Source organism: Homo sapiens, chromosome 5 (genome assembly GCF_000001405.40).
Source record: "Homo sapiens chromosome 5, GRCh38.p14 Primary Assembly".
Lineage (NCBI taxonomy): Eukaryota > Metazoa > Chordata > Mammalia > Primates > Hominidae > Homo > Homo sapiens.
Genome location: NC_000005.10, coordinates 66,298,217 through 66,310,974, shown reverse-complemented (window position 1 = coordinate 66,310,974; position 12,758 = coordinate 66,298,217). Strand labels below are relative to the sequence as shown.

The 12,758-nt window shown below is 43.9% G+C and overlaps 1 long non-coding RNA gene across 4 annotated transcripts in view; it reads right to left on the bottom strand.

The window, feature by feature from the left end:
* Positions 1-12,758, bottom strand: part of LOC124900988 (uncharacterized) — a 34,365-nt gene that overhangs the window by 15,804 nt on the left and 5,803 nt on the right. For 2 of the 4 annotated variants that reach the window (XR_007058791.1, XR_007058793.1), the window contains exon 1: positions 12,437-12,727. The exons of 1 other annotated variant lie outside the window; for it this stretch is intronic. This is a non-coding gene — a long non-coding RNA (uncharacterized LOC124900988). Of the gene's footprint in view, positions 1-3,199; positions 3,304-12,436; positions 12,728-12,758 lie in introns of those variants that run through there. One more of the 4 variants, XR_007058790.1, reaches the window with a different exon arrangement.

Genomic DNA, 12,758 nt, shown 5'->3' with positions numbered 1-12,758 from the left:
AAAGTCAAAATAGATAAATGGGATCTAATTAAACTAAAGAGCTTCTGTACAGCAAAAGAAACTACCATCAGAGTGAACAGAAAACCTACAGAATGGAAGAAAATTTTTGCAACCTACCCATCTGACACAGGGCTAATATCCAGAATCTACAAAGAACTCAAACAAATTTACAAGAAAAAAACGAACAACCCCATCAAAAAGTGGGCAAAGGATATGAACAGACACTTCTCGAAAGAAGACATCTATGCAGCCAACAGATACATGAAAAAATGTTCATCATCACTGGTCATCAGAGAAATGCAAATCAAAACCACAATGAGATACCATCTCACAACAGTTAGAATGGCAATCATTAAAAAGTCAGGAAACAACAGATGCTGGAGAGGATGTGGAGAAATGGGAACACTTTTACACTGTTGGTGGGAGTGCAAATTAGTTCAACCATTGTGGAAGACAGTGTGGTGATCCCTCAAGGATCTAGAACTAGAAATACCATTTGACCCAGCAATCCCATTACTAGGTATATACCCAAAGGAATATAAATCATGCTACTATAAAGACACATGCACACGTATGTTTATTGCAGCACTCTTCACAATAGCAAAGACTTGGAACCAACCCAAATGTCCATCAGTGATAGATTGGATTAAGAAAATGTGGCATATATACACCACAGAATACTATGCAGCCATAAAAAAGGATGAGTTCATGTCCTTTGCAGGGACGTGGAGGAAGCTGGAAACCATCATTCTCAGCAAACTATCACAAGGACAGAAAACCAAACACTACATATTCTCACTCATAGGTAGGAATTGAACAATGAGATCACTTGGACACAGGGCAGGGAACATCACACACCAGGGCCTGTTGGGGGATGGGAGGCTGGGGGAGGGATAGCATTAGGAGAAATACCTAATGTAAATGACGAGTTGATGGGTGCAGCAAACCAACATGTTACATGTATACCTACGTATCAAACCTGTACCCTAGAACTTAAAGTATAATAAAAAAAAAATAGGTAGAAGGCAAAAAAAAAAAAAATACCAGTGCCTGGGCTCTACCCCAAACCAGTTAAATCTGAACGTCCAGGAATGAAGCCCAAGTATCAGCAATTTTTAAAAGCTCACCAAGCAATTTTCAGGTGCAGCCAAAGTTGAAAACCACTCGCTCTAATGAGAACTGAAGGGCTAGTCTTGCAAAACGAACCTAGGAGTTCACAAACACGGATTTTGCTGGTAGGGCCTCTTTCAGAAATAACACCAGACAGGTGCCTTTACTTCCAACAGCCATGGCTGGTAAGTAGGAAATTTTAGCTCCATCCAGTCAAATACTGGCTGCGGTGGAAAATTAGCTCAGTCGTCATCATTGATTAAGCAGTATTTTTCAAAGTCTCTATTCATCAGGAAAGGGATCCCACTCAACAGATTAACAGGTTATTTTAGTGATTAGCTAGTGGTTTTCATCAGGTTAGCAAAATGCTTTATAGATACAGTTCAGTCAAACAGTAGCTCCTGATATTGACAAAAGAATTCTCCCAGCACTCTCCCCCACCCATTCCTGACTCTCAGGGTTGGGGAAGGCAGTCAATTCATCCCACCTGGTACTGTTGTTCCCATTGCCTCAGTCTACTCCATCCTGTCCATCTTCTCTTACACTCCAAGGCCAGGATAAGTTCTGGGTTTTGACTTGACAACAATATTCAAATTCTCCTTCTCAATTATTCTTTTTTGAATGAAACAAGCTTTATATCTTGAACACTTTTTCTACCCAAAATGCCTTGCAATTGTTGAGGTATTTGTATAGGCTTCCTCTGTACTTTCCATCTTTTTCACATCTTTTAAATAACAGTTTCAGCAAGCAGTGCCATTCAAGCAATTATCCGAATCATTTAGTCTGCCTTGGTTGGATACCTTGAGAAGGTGCGCAGTTGGCAGCAGAGAGACCAGGGACTCCTCTGCTCTTGCTCTGAATTCTCCCACCCCAGATTTCTGATCCTTTGCCAGCTTTGAGGAAGCAGTCTTGCTAGAGGCCCACTTCTTGTGGCCCTTAACAATTCCACCACAGGAAGCAGCTTGGTGTCATGGCGGGAGGGAGGTCTCAAGGCCCGGGAGCCTGGAGATGCAAGGGGGGGTCATGACACCACCTTTTGTAGCTGAGGGACCCTTAGGCAAGCCATTTAACTTCTCTGAGCTGCTGTTTCCTCTCCTGTGAAATGGAAATAAAAATACCCACCCTGCCTCCCTTAATAGATTGTTGTGAGAATAAAGTGAGGTGGTAGATGTGAAAGGGCTCTGGAAATTGTGAAGCCTCATATAGCTCCAAAGTTTTAGCATTAGACTGTGGATCCTCACAGCCCTGAATTCCATTCTTCATGACAAAGAAAGTTGTCAACATCAAATGCACAATTGAAGGGCCCCTTTGGGAACACACGACAAGTTCTCCTTCCTACTGTCTGAATTACTGATGGAGATAGATATTCCCAAGGCAGAGAAAATTCTGCTGGCTTTGGTCCCCTGAGAGCTGTCATAGAAAATATGACAAGAAAGCCTGCAGAAAGATAAAGGGATTAAGGGGCTTCAAAGAAAAGGGTTTTGTTTTAGCAAAGACCTTTTCTATAGAGGTCTCTAAACCAGTACAGGCTCTTCACCCGTCCCAGATGGTTTACATGGTGGCCCTGTCTGAAGGCCCCAGATGGCTAAAATGACCTCTATGAAAGCATCACACTGTCTGAGGAGCCTAAATCATAAGCAAGGCAATCAAGCTTCTACTTTTGTCACGTTGCACTGAGTCAGCCAAAACCCATCAGAGGACAAGTATTTTGCCAACGTGAAAACAGAATCATGCACATCTTTACCAGGATATTTTAACAGCAAAGGAAATCTGAATTCACTTGCCATATAAAGGAGAGGCTAGAGGAGTTATTCCTATCCAAAAAGTAAGCTGCCTTATGGTCAGAATGAAGCTCGGTTCCTAGGAATGAATGTCACATTAAATGCACAAGATTCAATGTGGAAAATGTATACAGTACAGATACAGTTTTAAAATACTGTATTAATAGAATGAGGGGAGCAGTTGTTCAAGCCTGTAACGCAGTTGTTCTAAGAAGCTTGATATCTAGTGACATCTAGTGGTGGCAGATATGAAAGCCTTCATGGCTACTATTTTCAGGATGGCAAAACAATGAATTCACCAAACTTGCCTATTGGTCGGAGTATAGTTTTTTGCAATTCTCATCTTCACTTGCCCATTCCCCATGGACCAGAACTTGAGAACTCACATCCAACGCAGAATATGGTAGCAGCACTAACAGAAAAAAAACAGAATATCTTCAGGCCTGCTGTATTTTTCATTTTTATTTAAATTGGTGCTTACCATAAACCTACTTCCTTTAGACACGGTAGATAATTGTAGCGGCAAGAATATGGCATTTGTGGGTCAAAAATCTAAGATGTATTGCCTGGTATAGACCTAACCTAGCAGACGGTATGACACTAAAGAATAACCTCGTTGAAGAACAAACAGCATGTTCCCTTTTGAAATAATAAGATTTTTTAAATGCTTTTTATCCAAAAAAGGTAGACATTCTCCCTTTTTACCTAATGAATTTGCTGTTCTTTAGTACTGTACCATTCAGACCTGGCTAGCATAAACTCCATCTTACCGGTCTAGTGTATTCCATGACGGTAAGGCTTCACTGTAGCAAGACAATACTTTTTCAATGTGTCTGAGAGAACTCAGCGTTCCAGTAGCCACAGCCTTCTGCTGTTGAGAGATTCCCTCCTATGAGGGCTTTGTTATCAGGAAGCCAGTAAAAGTCTCCGCCCAAATCAGTAGTAACAGCTGGAAGGGTCATCAGGGAATAACACTCAGCTGGGGCTTGCCTTGAGTATAGGAAAACAGCAATTGCTTTACTTCCTATTCACATCCCTTTTTGGAAATTCTCCTGGAATTTTGCAAAAGTACTCATCATTCATTCATTCAACAAAAGAAATAAGACTTTCGTGAGAGTTTCTTGTCTTAGTCATTGCATTTACCAGATAAGGTGGTTTTGAAGCCCACATTAGAATATAATTTGAGCTTGCATAAGCTGTATGATGCTTTAATACAAGCTTGTCCAACCCGCGGCCCAGGACGGCTTTGAATGCAGCCCAACACAAATTCATAAACCTATGAGATAACACAAATTCAAAACATTATGAGATTTTTTTGCAATTTTTTTTAGCTCATTGGCTATCGTTAGCGTTAGCTATTTTATGTGTGGCCCAAGACTATTCTTCTTCCAATGTGGTCCAGGGTAGCCAAAAGAGTGGACACCCCTGCTTTAATCCATTGTACCACAATCCTACAAGAAACCATCCTCAGAGGACACGTTTTCCTGGATCTCATCCAGGCTGATGGGTCCTCAGGAGAGCCCTCTAGTGCTCAGAAGCAGTATCTGCACCAAGAGGAGCTCATTGCAGCTAGGTACAGGCTACAGTCAAGACCTAAAGGGAAGCCCTGGGAGGTTCTAATGCCGGATTCAAAAATCAGGGGCGGGAAGGGGGAAGAAGAGGGCATAGATGGAGTCTGAGGAATCCTGTAGTCCTCCGCACACTCAACAGCAAGGCCAGTAGCCTCTCTGGAGTTCACAGATGAACAGCCTCCTGCCCCATTGACCTGGAGGAGGAGAGAGGAGGATATGCCTTTACTGGTCAGTGAGCATCTTTCCACCAACACTCCGTTCCATGGCTCTAATGCCGTTAGGAAGAGCAGCTTGGAGAGCTGGCTAGCTACCTGTGTGAAATATTTGCATGGCTTGCTTCATAATTTCATTCAAGTGTCTGTTTGAATGTTCCCTTTTTATAATGGCCTTTCCTGGCCCTCTATTTCAAATATCCCACCCTGCCCTGCTTGCTACCAGAGCTCTCTCCTGATCTCCAGACTGGTAGTTCTGGATGCCACTTGAACTGCCACCTAGAGGCATCCAGGACTACCAATGGCTGCAGCATTTTGTCCTCAATTGTCCACAGCTGAACACATCTTCTTCCCCCAGACCTGTTCCTCCTCCTCCTGGGGTCCCCACCTCAGTTACCAACACCATCACCATCTGGCCACTCAAGCAGGCATTCCGGACTCACGTCATTCCTTCTTCTCTCTCAACTCCCTCCCAACCTCCTCCTTCTCCCCTGATTCAGGCAGTTACCAGAACCAGCTGGTTCTTCCCATTAAATTTCCCTTGGATTTGTCCCCTCTGCTCCAGTCCCTCTGTCCCTCAGTTCAGCTTCTCACTGCCTCTTATTTCTCACTTGGACATTGAAATAATCTCCCTGCTTTCAGGCTTACCTCCCACAATTCATTGTCCACACCGAAACCACAACACGCTTTCTAGTCCTATTCTGTGGCCCCCTACCTGCTAAGTTTCCCCTCCCCATCATGTACAGGATGAAGTCCAAGTCTCTTTATAACCTGGATCCTAGGGTTCATCTCTCACCATTCCCCACATGCTCACCTTGTGTCATGCTCACACAGGTAGTCCTATTTTTTGGAACATTCCACCCTCTTCCATGCCTCTGTGCCCTTGCACATGCTGTTCCCTCTGACTGGAATGGCCTCCCCCATCTTCCCAGACCTCTGCTCCTCAGCCCCCTTACCCATGGATTTAGTTGCTTCTTCCTCTGAGTTTTCATAACACTTCACTTTATCTCTATCCAACAACTGTCTCATATATTTTTCATAATAATCTTTTCACCGATATGTCTCCTCCACTAGACTGTAAAATCCCCGAGGGAATAAGACAATATTTTCATTATTCTTTGTATCTCTAGCATTTGGCATTGTACTCAGCACATATTTAACGGCTCAATAAATGTTTGTTGAATGAATAAAAATTATAAGCCATCAGTTACATAGATAATATGGGAGCTTTTTGGAGTCAGAAGAGCAAAGGGACTTTGCTCTTCCGCAGCCTTAATTATCCAGGTTCCCCTTTTTATCTTCTTTTTCCCCAACCAAACCCTTATTTCCTTCAGGGAAACATCCTCCTCCATGCAGCCCATATGGGAAAACTAATCTCATTCCCAGTTCCAGAATGTTCCAAAGGTAATGCCATTCCAATGCCTTCCCAGTAATTGGTTCCAGATGAGCATATGACTGAACTTGGACCTAGGAGACATGAGAAAAGATTTTCTGAGGGCTTCTCAAGCTTGAAGAAACAACCCTTGAACTCTTTCTCTAGACATTGCTACAAGCCCAGGAAGAAGAAGCCAGCAGAGCCAAGAACATCTTAGGAAAATGGGGCAAGAGCCCCTGGATTAAGCCAGCACTGATGCCTACCCATCTCTGGACTTCTCATCATGTGAGCCCAATAAATCCTCTTTTTGCTTAAGTCCTTTGGAGGTCTTTATGCCATTATTCTTACTCATAATTAAAATCATCTCACCTGAAACATATATTCAAAATAATATACATAAATAAATATGTATGTGAAAAATATCACTTAATCACTCATGCCCTGCTTCATTCTCTAAAAGTAAATCATATTCATATCACCCATCCCCTTTGTGAAATATGTAGTAAGTCCTCAATTAACGTCATCAGTGGGTTCTTGGAAACTGCAACTTAAAATAAAACCAATCTTGCCTATAACCCTAGTGGTTTGGGAGGCCAACACAGGAGGATGGCTTGGGAACAGGAGTTCAAGACCAGCCTGGGCAATATAGCAAGACCCTACTTCTACCAAAAAAAAATTAATCAGCTAGGCATGGTGGCACATGCCTGTCCTCCCAGCCACTTGGGAGGCTGAGACGAGAGGATTGCTGAAGCCCAAAAGTTTGAGGTTACAGTGCGTTATGATCATGCCACTGCAGTCCAGCCTGGGCCACAGACCGAGACCTCGTCTCTAAACAAAACAAAACAAAACAAAAACAACCAGCACCAAAAAGAAAAAAGAAAAAAAAAGATAACAACTTTCCATTGGCTATTTGGTATAGACAAGAGTTAAATTCCTATGGCATATTTCTGGTTGCAAAAACGTCACCAAACTTCTAAACAAAGACCAAAACATTTCCAGTGTTAAACATTGAAATAAATGTGAGCTATACATCCATTTAAGAAATATTAATAGGCCGGGAGCGGTGGCTCATGCCTGTAATCCCAGCACTTTGGGAGGCCGAGGCAGGCGGATCACTTGAAGTCAGGAGTTTGAGACCAGCCTGGCCAACGTGGTGAAACCCTGTCTCTACCAAACATACAAAAATTAGCCGGGCGTGGTGGTGTGCACCTGTAGTCCCAGTACTCGGGAGGCTGGCAGGAGAATTGCTTGAACCCGGGAAGTGGAGGTTGCAGTGAGCCAAGATCGTGCCACTGCACTTCAGCCTGGGTGACAAGAGTGAAACTCCATCCAAAAAAATATTAATAAAAACGAGTAAGATAATTATTCACCCACTTATACCACTTCAGGGTTACGGGTGGTCAGAACCTATCCTAACAGCTCAGGCTGCAAGATTGGAACCAGCCCTGGCCAGGACATCATCCCATCACAGGGTGCACTGACACACACCCACACTCACTCCAGATGAGATTATTTAGACATGCCGATGCACCTAATGCACACATCTTCATGATGTGGGAAGAAACCAGAGTACACAGAGAAAACCCACACAGACATGGGGGACCATGCAAACTCCACATAGACAATGGCCCCAGCTGGGAAGCAATTTTTTTTCTCATCAATGTTATAACAAAATGATGCTGAATGAAATGACATTATCTGAGGACCTGCTGTGGTATAGCTTAAGAAAAATCAGTAGAGCAACCAGTGTCAGCCCAAGTTCATCACATAACATTGACTGACAATTCTGTCACCTTTTGACAAAGCTTGTGTAACAGCTAACATCCTGATGAGTAGAAGGGCAGAGGCTGTCAAGAGGAGTTCAGCTTCAAATTTCTATCACTGTACATTGTCCTATAATTTCTTCCCTAGCTTTAGTCACTACAGTATATTGATATGTCCATCAGTCCCCTGGTTGGTTGCCTTTAAAAAAAAAAAAAGACAATGATGTTAACAATTCTTAACCATAGGTGCGAGGCTCCACAAAGCTGTCACACTGAACCTGAAAGCTAAGAGAACACAAACAGGCAAGTCTGGGCCCCCTTTGGGAATGATCTTAGACTTGGGCAAGATTGCTGGCTGGGTCGGTGTTCGGTGTTCGCTCAGGAAAATGAAACCCCTGGGGATATTTTGATGAGAAAAGGATGTAAACAGACGCTTAGTTATAGAAGTGGTAGAAGGCCTGGAAGAACATACGAGAAAGAAAAGATTTGGTTTGGGCATAGGAGCACCAAGGCGAAGGGGGTTACCCAACCGTCTGCAAGCGGCTGCTGCCTGTGGACAAGAACTTGCACGTGGCGCTCCTGCTGGAGAAGGCACTGCTGCTGCCCATGGGGAACCAAGGAGCCTACAGGCCCGCTGGTGCCACCAAAGCCGCCATGATGCAGTTGCCCACGGCCGCCCTTAGCCACTCACTGCTGCCAGCGGCCTCCCTAAGTCTCCCCACCTGCTCCCAGTGAATGCCCTCCACTGTGGGAGCACTGGCAGACCTAACAGGAAGGGAGGGTGGTTTGCAGATTTCAAGCCCCCAGGGAAGAGAAGAGAGCATGGAAGGCTGAGTGTGGAGCTTTTCTGCCCCTGCCACCAAGGTCAAGGTCATATGGAACACATGATGCCTTTGAGAATAACAAAGGTGTGTAATGTTCAAGATTATTTCATGTATTTGTTCAAGAAACTCCTATAATCCAATAGAGGAGCTCAGAGAAGTATAAGGAGGCAAGAGTCAGATTATACAGATAACCCCTGCAAGGGCAAGATACCACAGTCCATCACTTACTGTTTGGTGGTCTCACATTCACATGGAGTCAAAGGACAACTCACAGGAGTTTGTCCCTTTTCCCCTTGCCTTGCCTGCCAGTTCACACACAGGCCACATCTTTCTTCCTTACATTTGCTTTGTTCTTCCTTCCATTTTCTCCCCATTACCCAACCCCCCACCTTTTTATGTTTTTTGCTTGTTTGTTTGTTTGTTTGTTTGAGATGGAGTCTCTCTGTGTCACCCAGGCTGGAGTGCAGTGGTGAGATCTCAGCTCATTGCAACCTCCACCTCCAGAGTTCAAGCGATTCTCATGCCTCAGCCTCTGGAGTAGCTGGGACTACAGGCATGCGCCACCATGCCAGGCTAATTTTAACATTTTTGTAGAGACAGAGTTTTGCCGTGCTGCCCAGGCTGGTCATGAACTCCTGACCACAGGTGATCTACCCACCTCGGCCTCCCAAAGTGCTGGGATTACAGGTGTAAGCCACCGTGCCCAGCCCCCTCAGTGTTTTTAACCAATCTCCTGATGCCTCCCGAGTGGACCCCCTCAATGAAGCCAGAGGGACTAGTTGGTTCTTTTGAGCCTCCCCAGCAAACAAATCAAATAAATGTTCCTCTTGTTACTATTTACCATGCTTGCCACAAAAGCACAAAGTATTACTATGCTAACAGAGTTCCTGTCTTTTCTCCTCATCTTCCTGAGACCACTGTATTAGTCTTGTTCACACTGCTTTAAAGACATACCTGAGACTGGGTAATTTATAAAGAAAGGAGGTTTAATTGACTCAGAGTTCTGCGTGGCTGGGGAGACCTCAGGAAACTTACAATCATGGCAGAAGGTGAAGTAGGCACGTCTTACGTGGCGGAAGTTGAGAGAGAGCAAGCAAGAGCAGGGAAAACTGCCTTATAACGCCGTCAGATCTCATGAGAACTCACTCACTATCAGGAGAACAGCATGGGGGAACTGCCCCCATGATCTAATCACCTGCCACTAGTTCCCTCATTCGACACATAAGGATTATGAGCATTAAAATTAAAGATGAGATTTGGGTGAAGAGGCAGCCAAACTATATCAACCACCTTTCAAGGAATAAGGAAGAACATCCTGGAGAAGTTTACCAGACCTCGTTTGGAAAGATGTCAAGAGCATACATGGAAGCTCCAAATTATACGTCGGGCTTGCGAATGTGCTGCTTTGAGGGTTCCAGAACCTGCCTCCATGGAAGAATCCCACTCCTCCCCACCCTTACACAAATACCATGTCCCTAATCAGCAATGAGTTCCAACCAAAGAAAATTCTCTCTTCCTGATTTCTGTACAGAAGCTTAGGAATTCAAGCCAAGGAATTTAAGTTGTGTTTTTAAAGGATTATATCTATGGAGATGAATACTAAAGCCAATGTGTAGGTGATTGTGAATATTTCATTCAAACCCAAAATCTCTTCCAGTGGTCAACAGCAAGGGCTATAAAATGCAAGCATGATATCTTCCCTGCTTATTTCACCTCTAAGCAGTAAGGGAAACACCTTGCAGAAATAAAACACTCCTTGGCCAGCCTCCCACATCCCCCAAGCCCCAGCATTTGGGTCCAGATCCACCTCATCAGAAGGGAGGCGCAGACACCATGAAGGAGGAGATGGCAGGCGTGTGGCTACATGATGGGGGGCATCATGAAGCATGGGCTCCACTTGGGCGTCTCCCCTCTGCATCTATAGGTGGTGCTATGACTGTGTCCAGACACCTGCTGTCCTCACACATGATGCCTCTTTCAAAAGGGTGGGGGAGAAAAAGAGAGAGAACTGCGTACAAAGGGGTGCATGTGCTTTACCTGGGTGGAAGCAAAACAGACTAGCACCTGCAAGACACCTCTTTAGAGACATTGAAAAGGACATTTGACATAATCAGCTCTTGCAGTAGCCCACCAGGTTTCCTGAAATTGGATTCATGCATCACTTAAGGGCCCCAGAATGTTTTTGCTGGCCTAAGGCAGCATAGTAACCAGAAGAAACGTATTCATGGCCCACATTGCCGCTGGGTAAACTTTGGTGACTATGGGTAAATGGCCATCTCCAACAGAGATTTATTTGTCAGACCGAGCACTATCATTCCCTCCTGATCAGAAGAACAGGGTCTTCTCAAGAGCCCCATGGGTCTTGGCAGCAGCAAGAGGTAGCATAACAGAGGGCCTAAGAGCATGGATTCTGGAAGAAGCCAGTCCTAGTTTTGATTCCTGGCTCTTTCACTTACTACTGTGTGGCCTCAGGCAGTTTACTTAACCTTTTCTGTTCTCAGTTTCTTCACCTGTAAAATGGACATGTTAATAATAGTGCCAAGGTAGGTAGAATTCTAAGATGGCCCCAAGATGCATACTCCCTAGTGTATAATTTCCAGGACTGTAAATATGATAGATTTCACCCCCTTGATTAGGTTACGTTATATGGCACTGATTGACTTTAAGAAAGGGAGATTGTCTGGGTGGGTCTGACCTAATCAGGTGAGCTCCTTCAAAGCAGAGCATTTTCAACCAGACACAGAGAAAAAAAAGCCAGAGTGATGAACTCCTGCTGGCCTGAAAGAAGTAGAAATGACCAGGTTGTTAACTGCCTACAGGGGCCAAGTGGCAAGAAGTATGGGAGGCCTCCAAGACCGAGCTGACAGCCAACAAGGAAATGGAAATCTTACCCCTATAACTGCAAGGAACTAAATTCAACCAACAATCTGAATGAGCTTCAAAGTGGATTCTCTCCAAAACCCCAAGAAAGAAACACAGCTTGGCTAACACCTTGATTTCAGCCTCATCAGAGCCTGAGCAGAGGACTCAGTCATGCCATGCCCAGACTTCTAAGCTACAGAAGTGTAAGTTGATAAATGGGCATTGTTTTAAACCACTCGACATGGGGGTTTATTATGCAGTAGAAAGAAACTGATACAAGTACCAAATTCATAAGGTTTTGCTGAGGAAAAAATACACATAAAGCATTTAGCACGGTTTGTGGCTCAGTGAATGTTAGCGATTCTCAACATCCATGAGTCAACAACAAGGCACTGAAAGAAAAGACAAAGCTTTACAGCATCAATGTCCTACCTTGAAAAAATCGCTTAACCTCTCTGAATCTCAGCTTCCCCACTAGTAAAATGAAAGAGTGTAGCTCAATAATAATATTGGCATAGAGCCTTCACAAATGGTAGCTCATTCAATTGCTCCAACAGACCATGAAGATAAAATACAATTATAAAATCTCATTTCCCAAATATAGAAATGAACATGCTGAAATTCAGAGAGGCCACTTGGATCAGCTAAGATTGCACATAAGTATGGCAGATTGAAGTTCTGAACCCAGAATTTCTGACTTTCAATCTTGTGTTCCTTCCAGCTATACCTTATTCCCTCAAAAACCTTTGCAGTTCTGAAAGTGTGTGATTCAACAATATTTACAGCAGTTGTTGCTCCTGATGGCTGGATTTATCCAAATGCCTCTGTTCTTTTGTCCTTGTGAGCTAATATCGCCTGACCATGGTGACCACCCTGTGTATTATGATCCCCTTGGCCTTTGCTTGTTTATTTCTTTAGCTGTACTATGGTGTATTTACCTCACAGTGTGAATTCCAACATGAAGGAAGCAGAAATAAGGTTGGAGGTTGAACCCTGAAAGGAGAGAGACCTTGGGCCACCGACCAATACTGGTTACATAGTCACGATGGCTGAGCCACAGACTCTCAGAACTTTCCACTCACTGTACCTCACAGGTGAGTTCCTAACAACCCACAAAGTAATAATTACAAAGATCTGTCTCCATAGAAACCTTGGACACCTGCAAGTATAGTTTCAGTTCATTCTTATTTTATATCCCTCCATAGTGAAGAAGGAATAAAAGGAGAGGAGGCAGGTAGTCAAAATCACAAAGGTTAATAA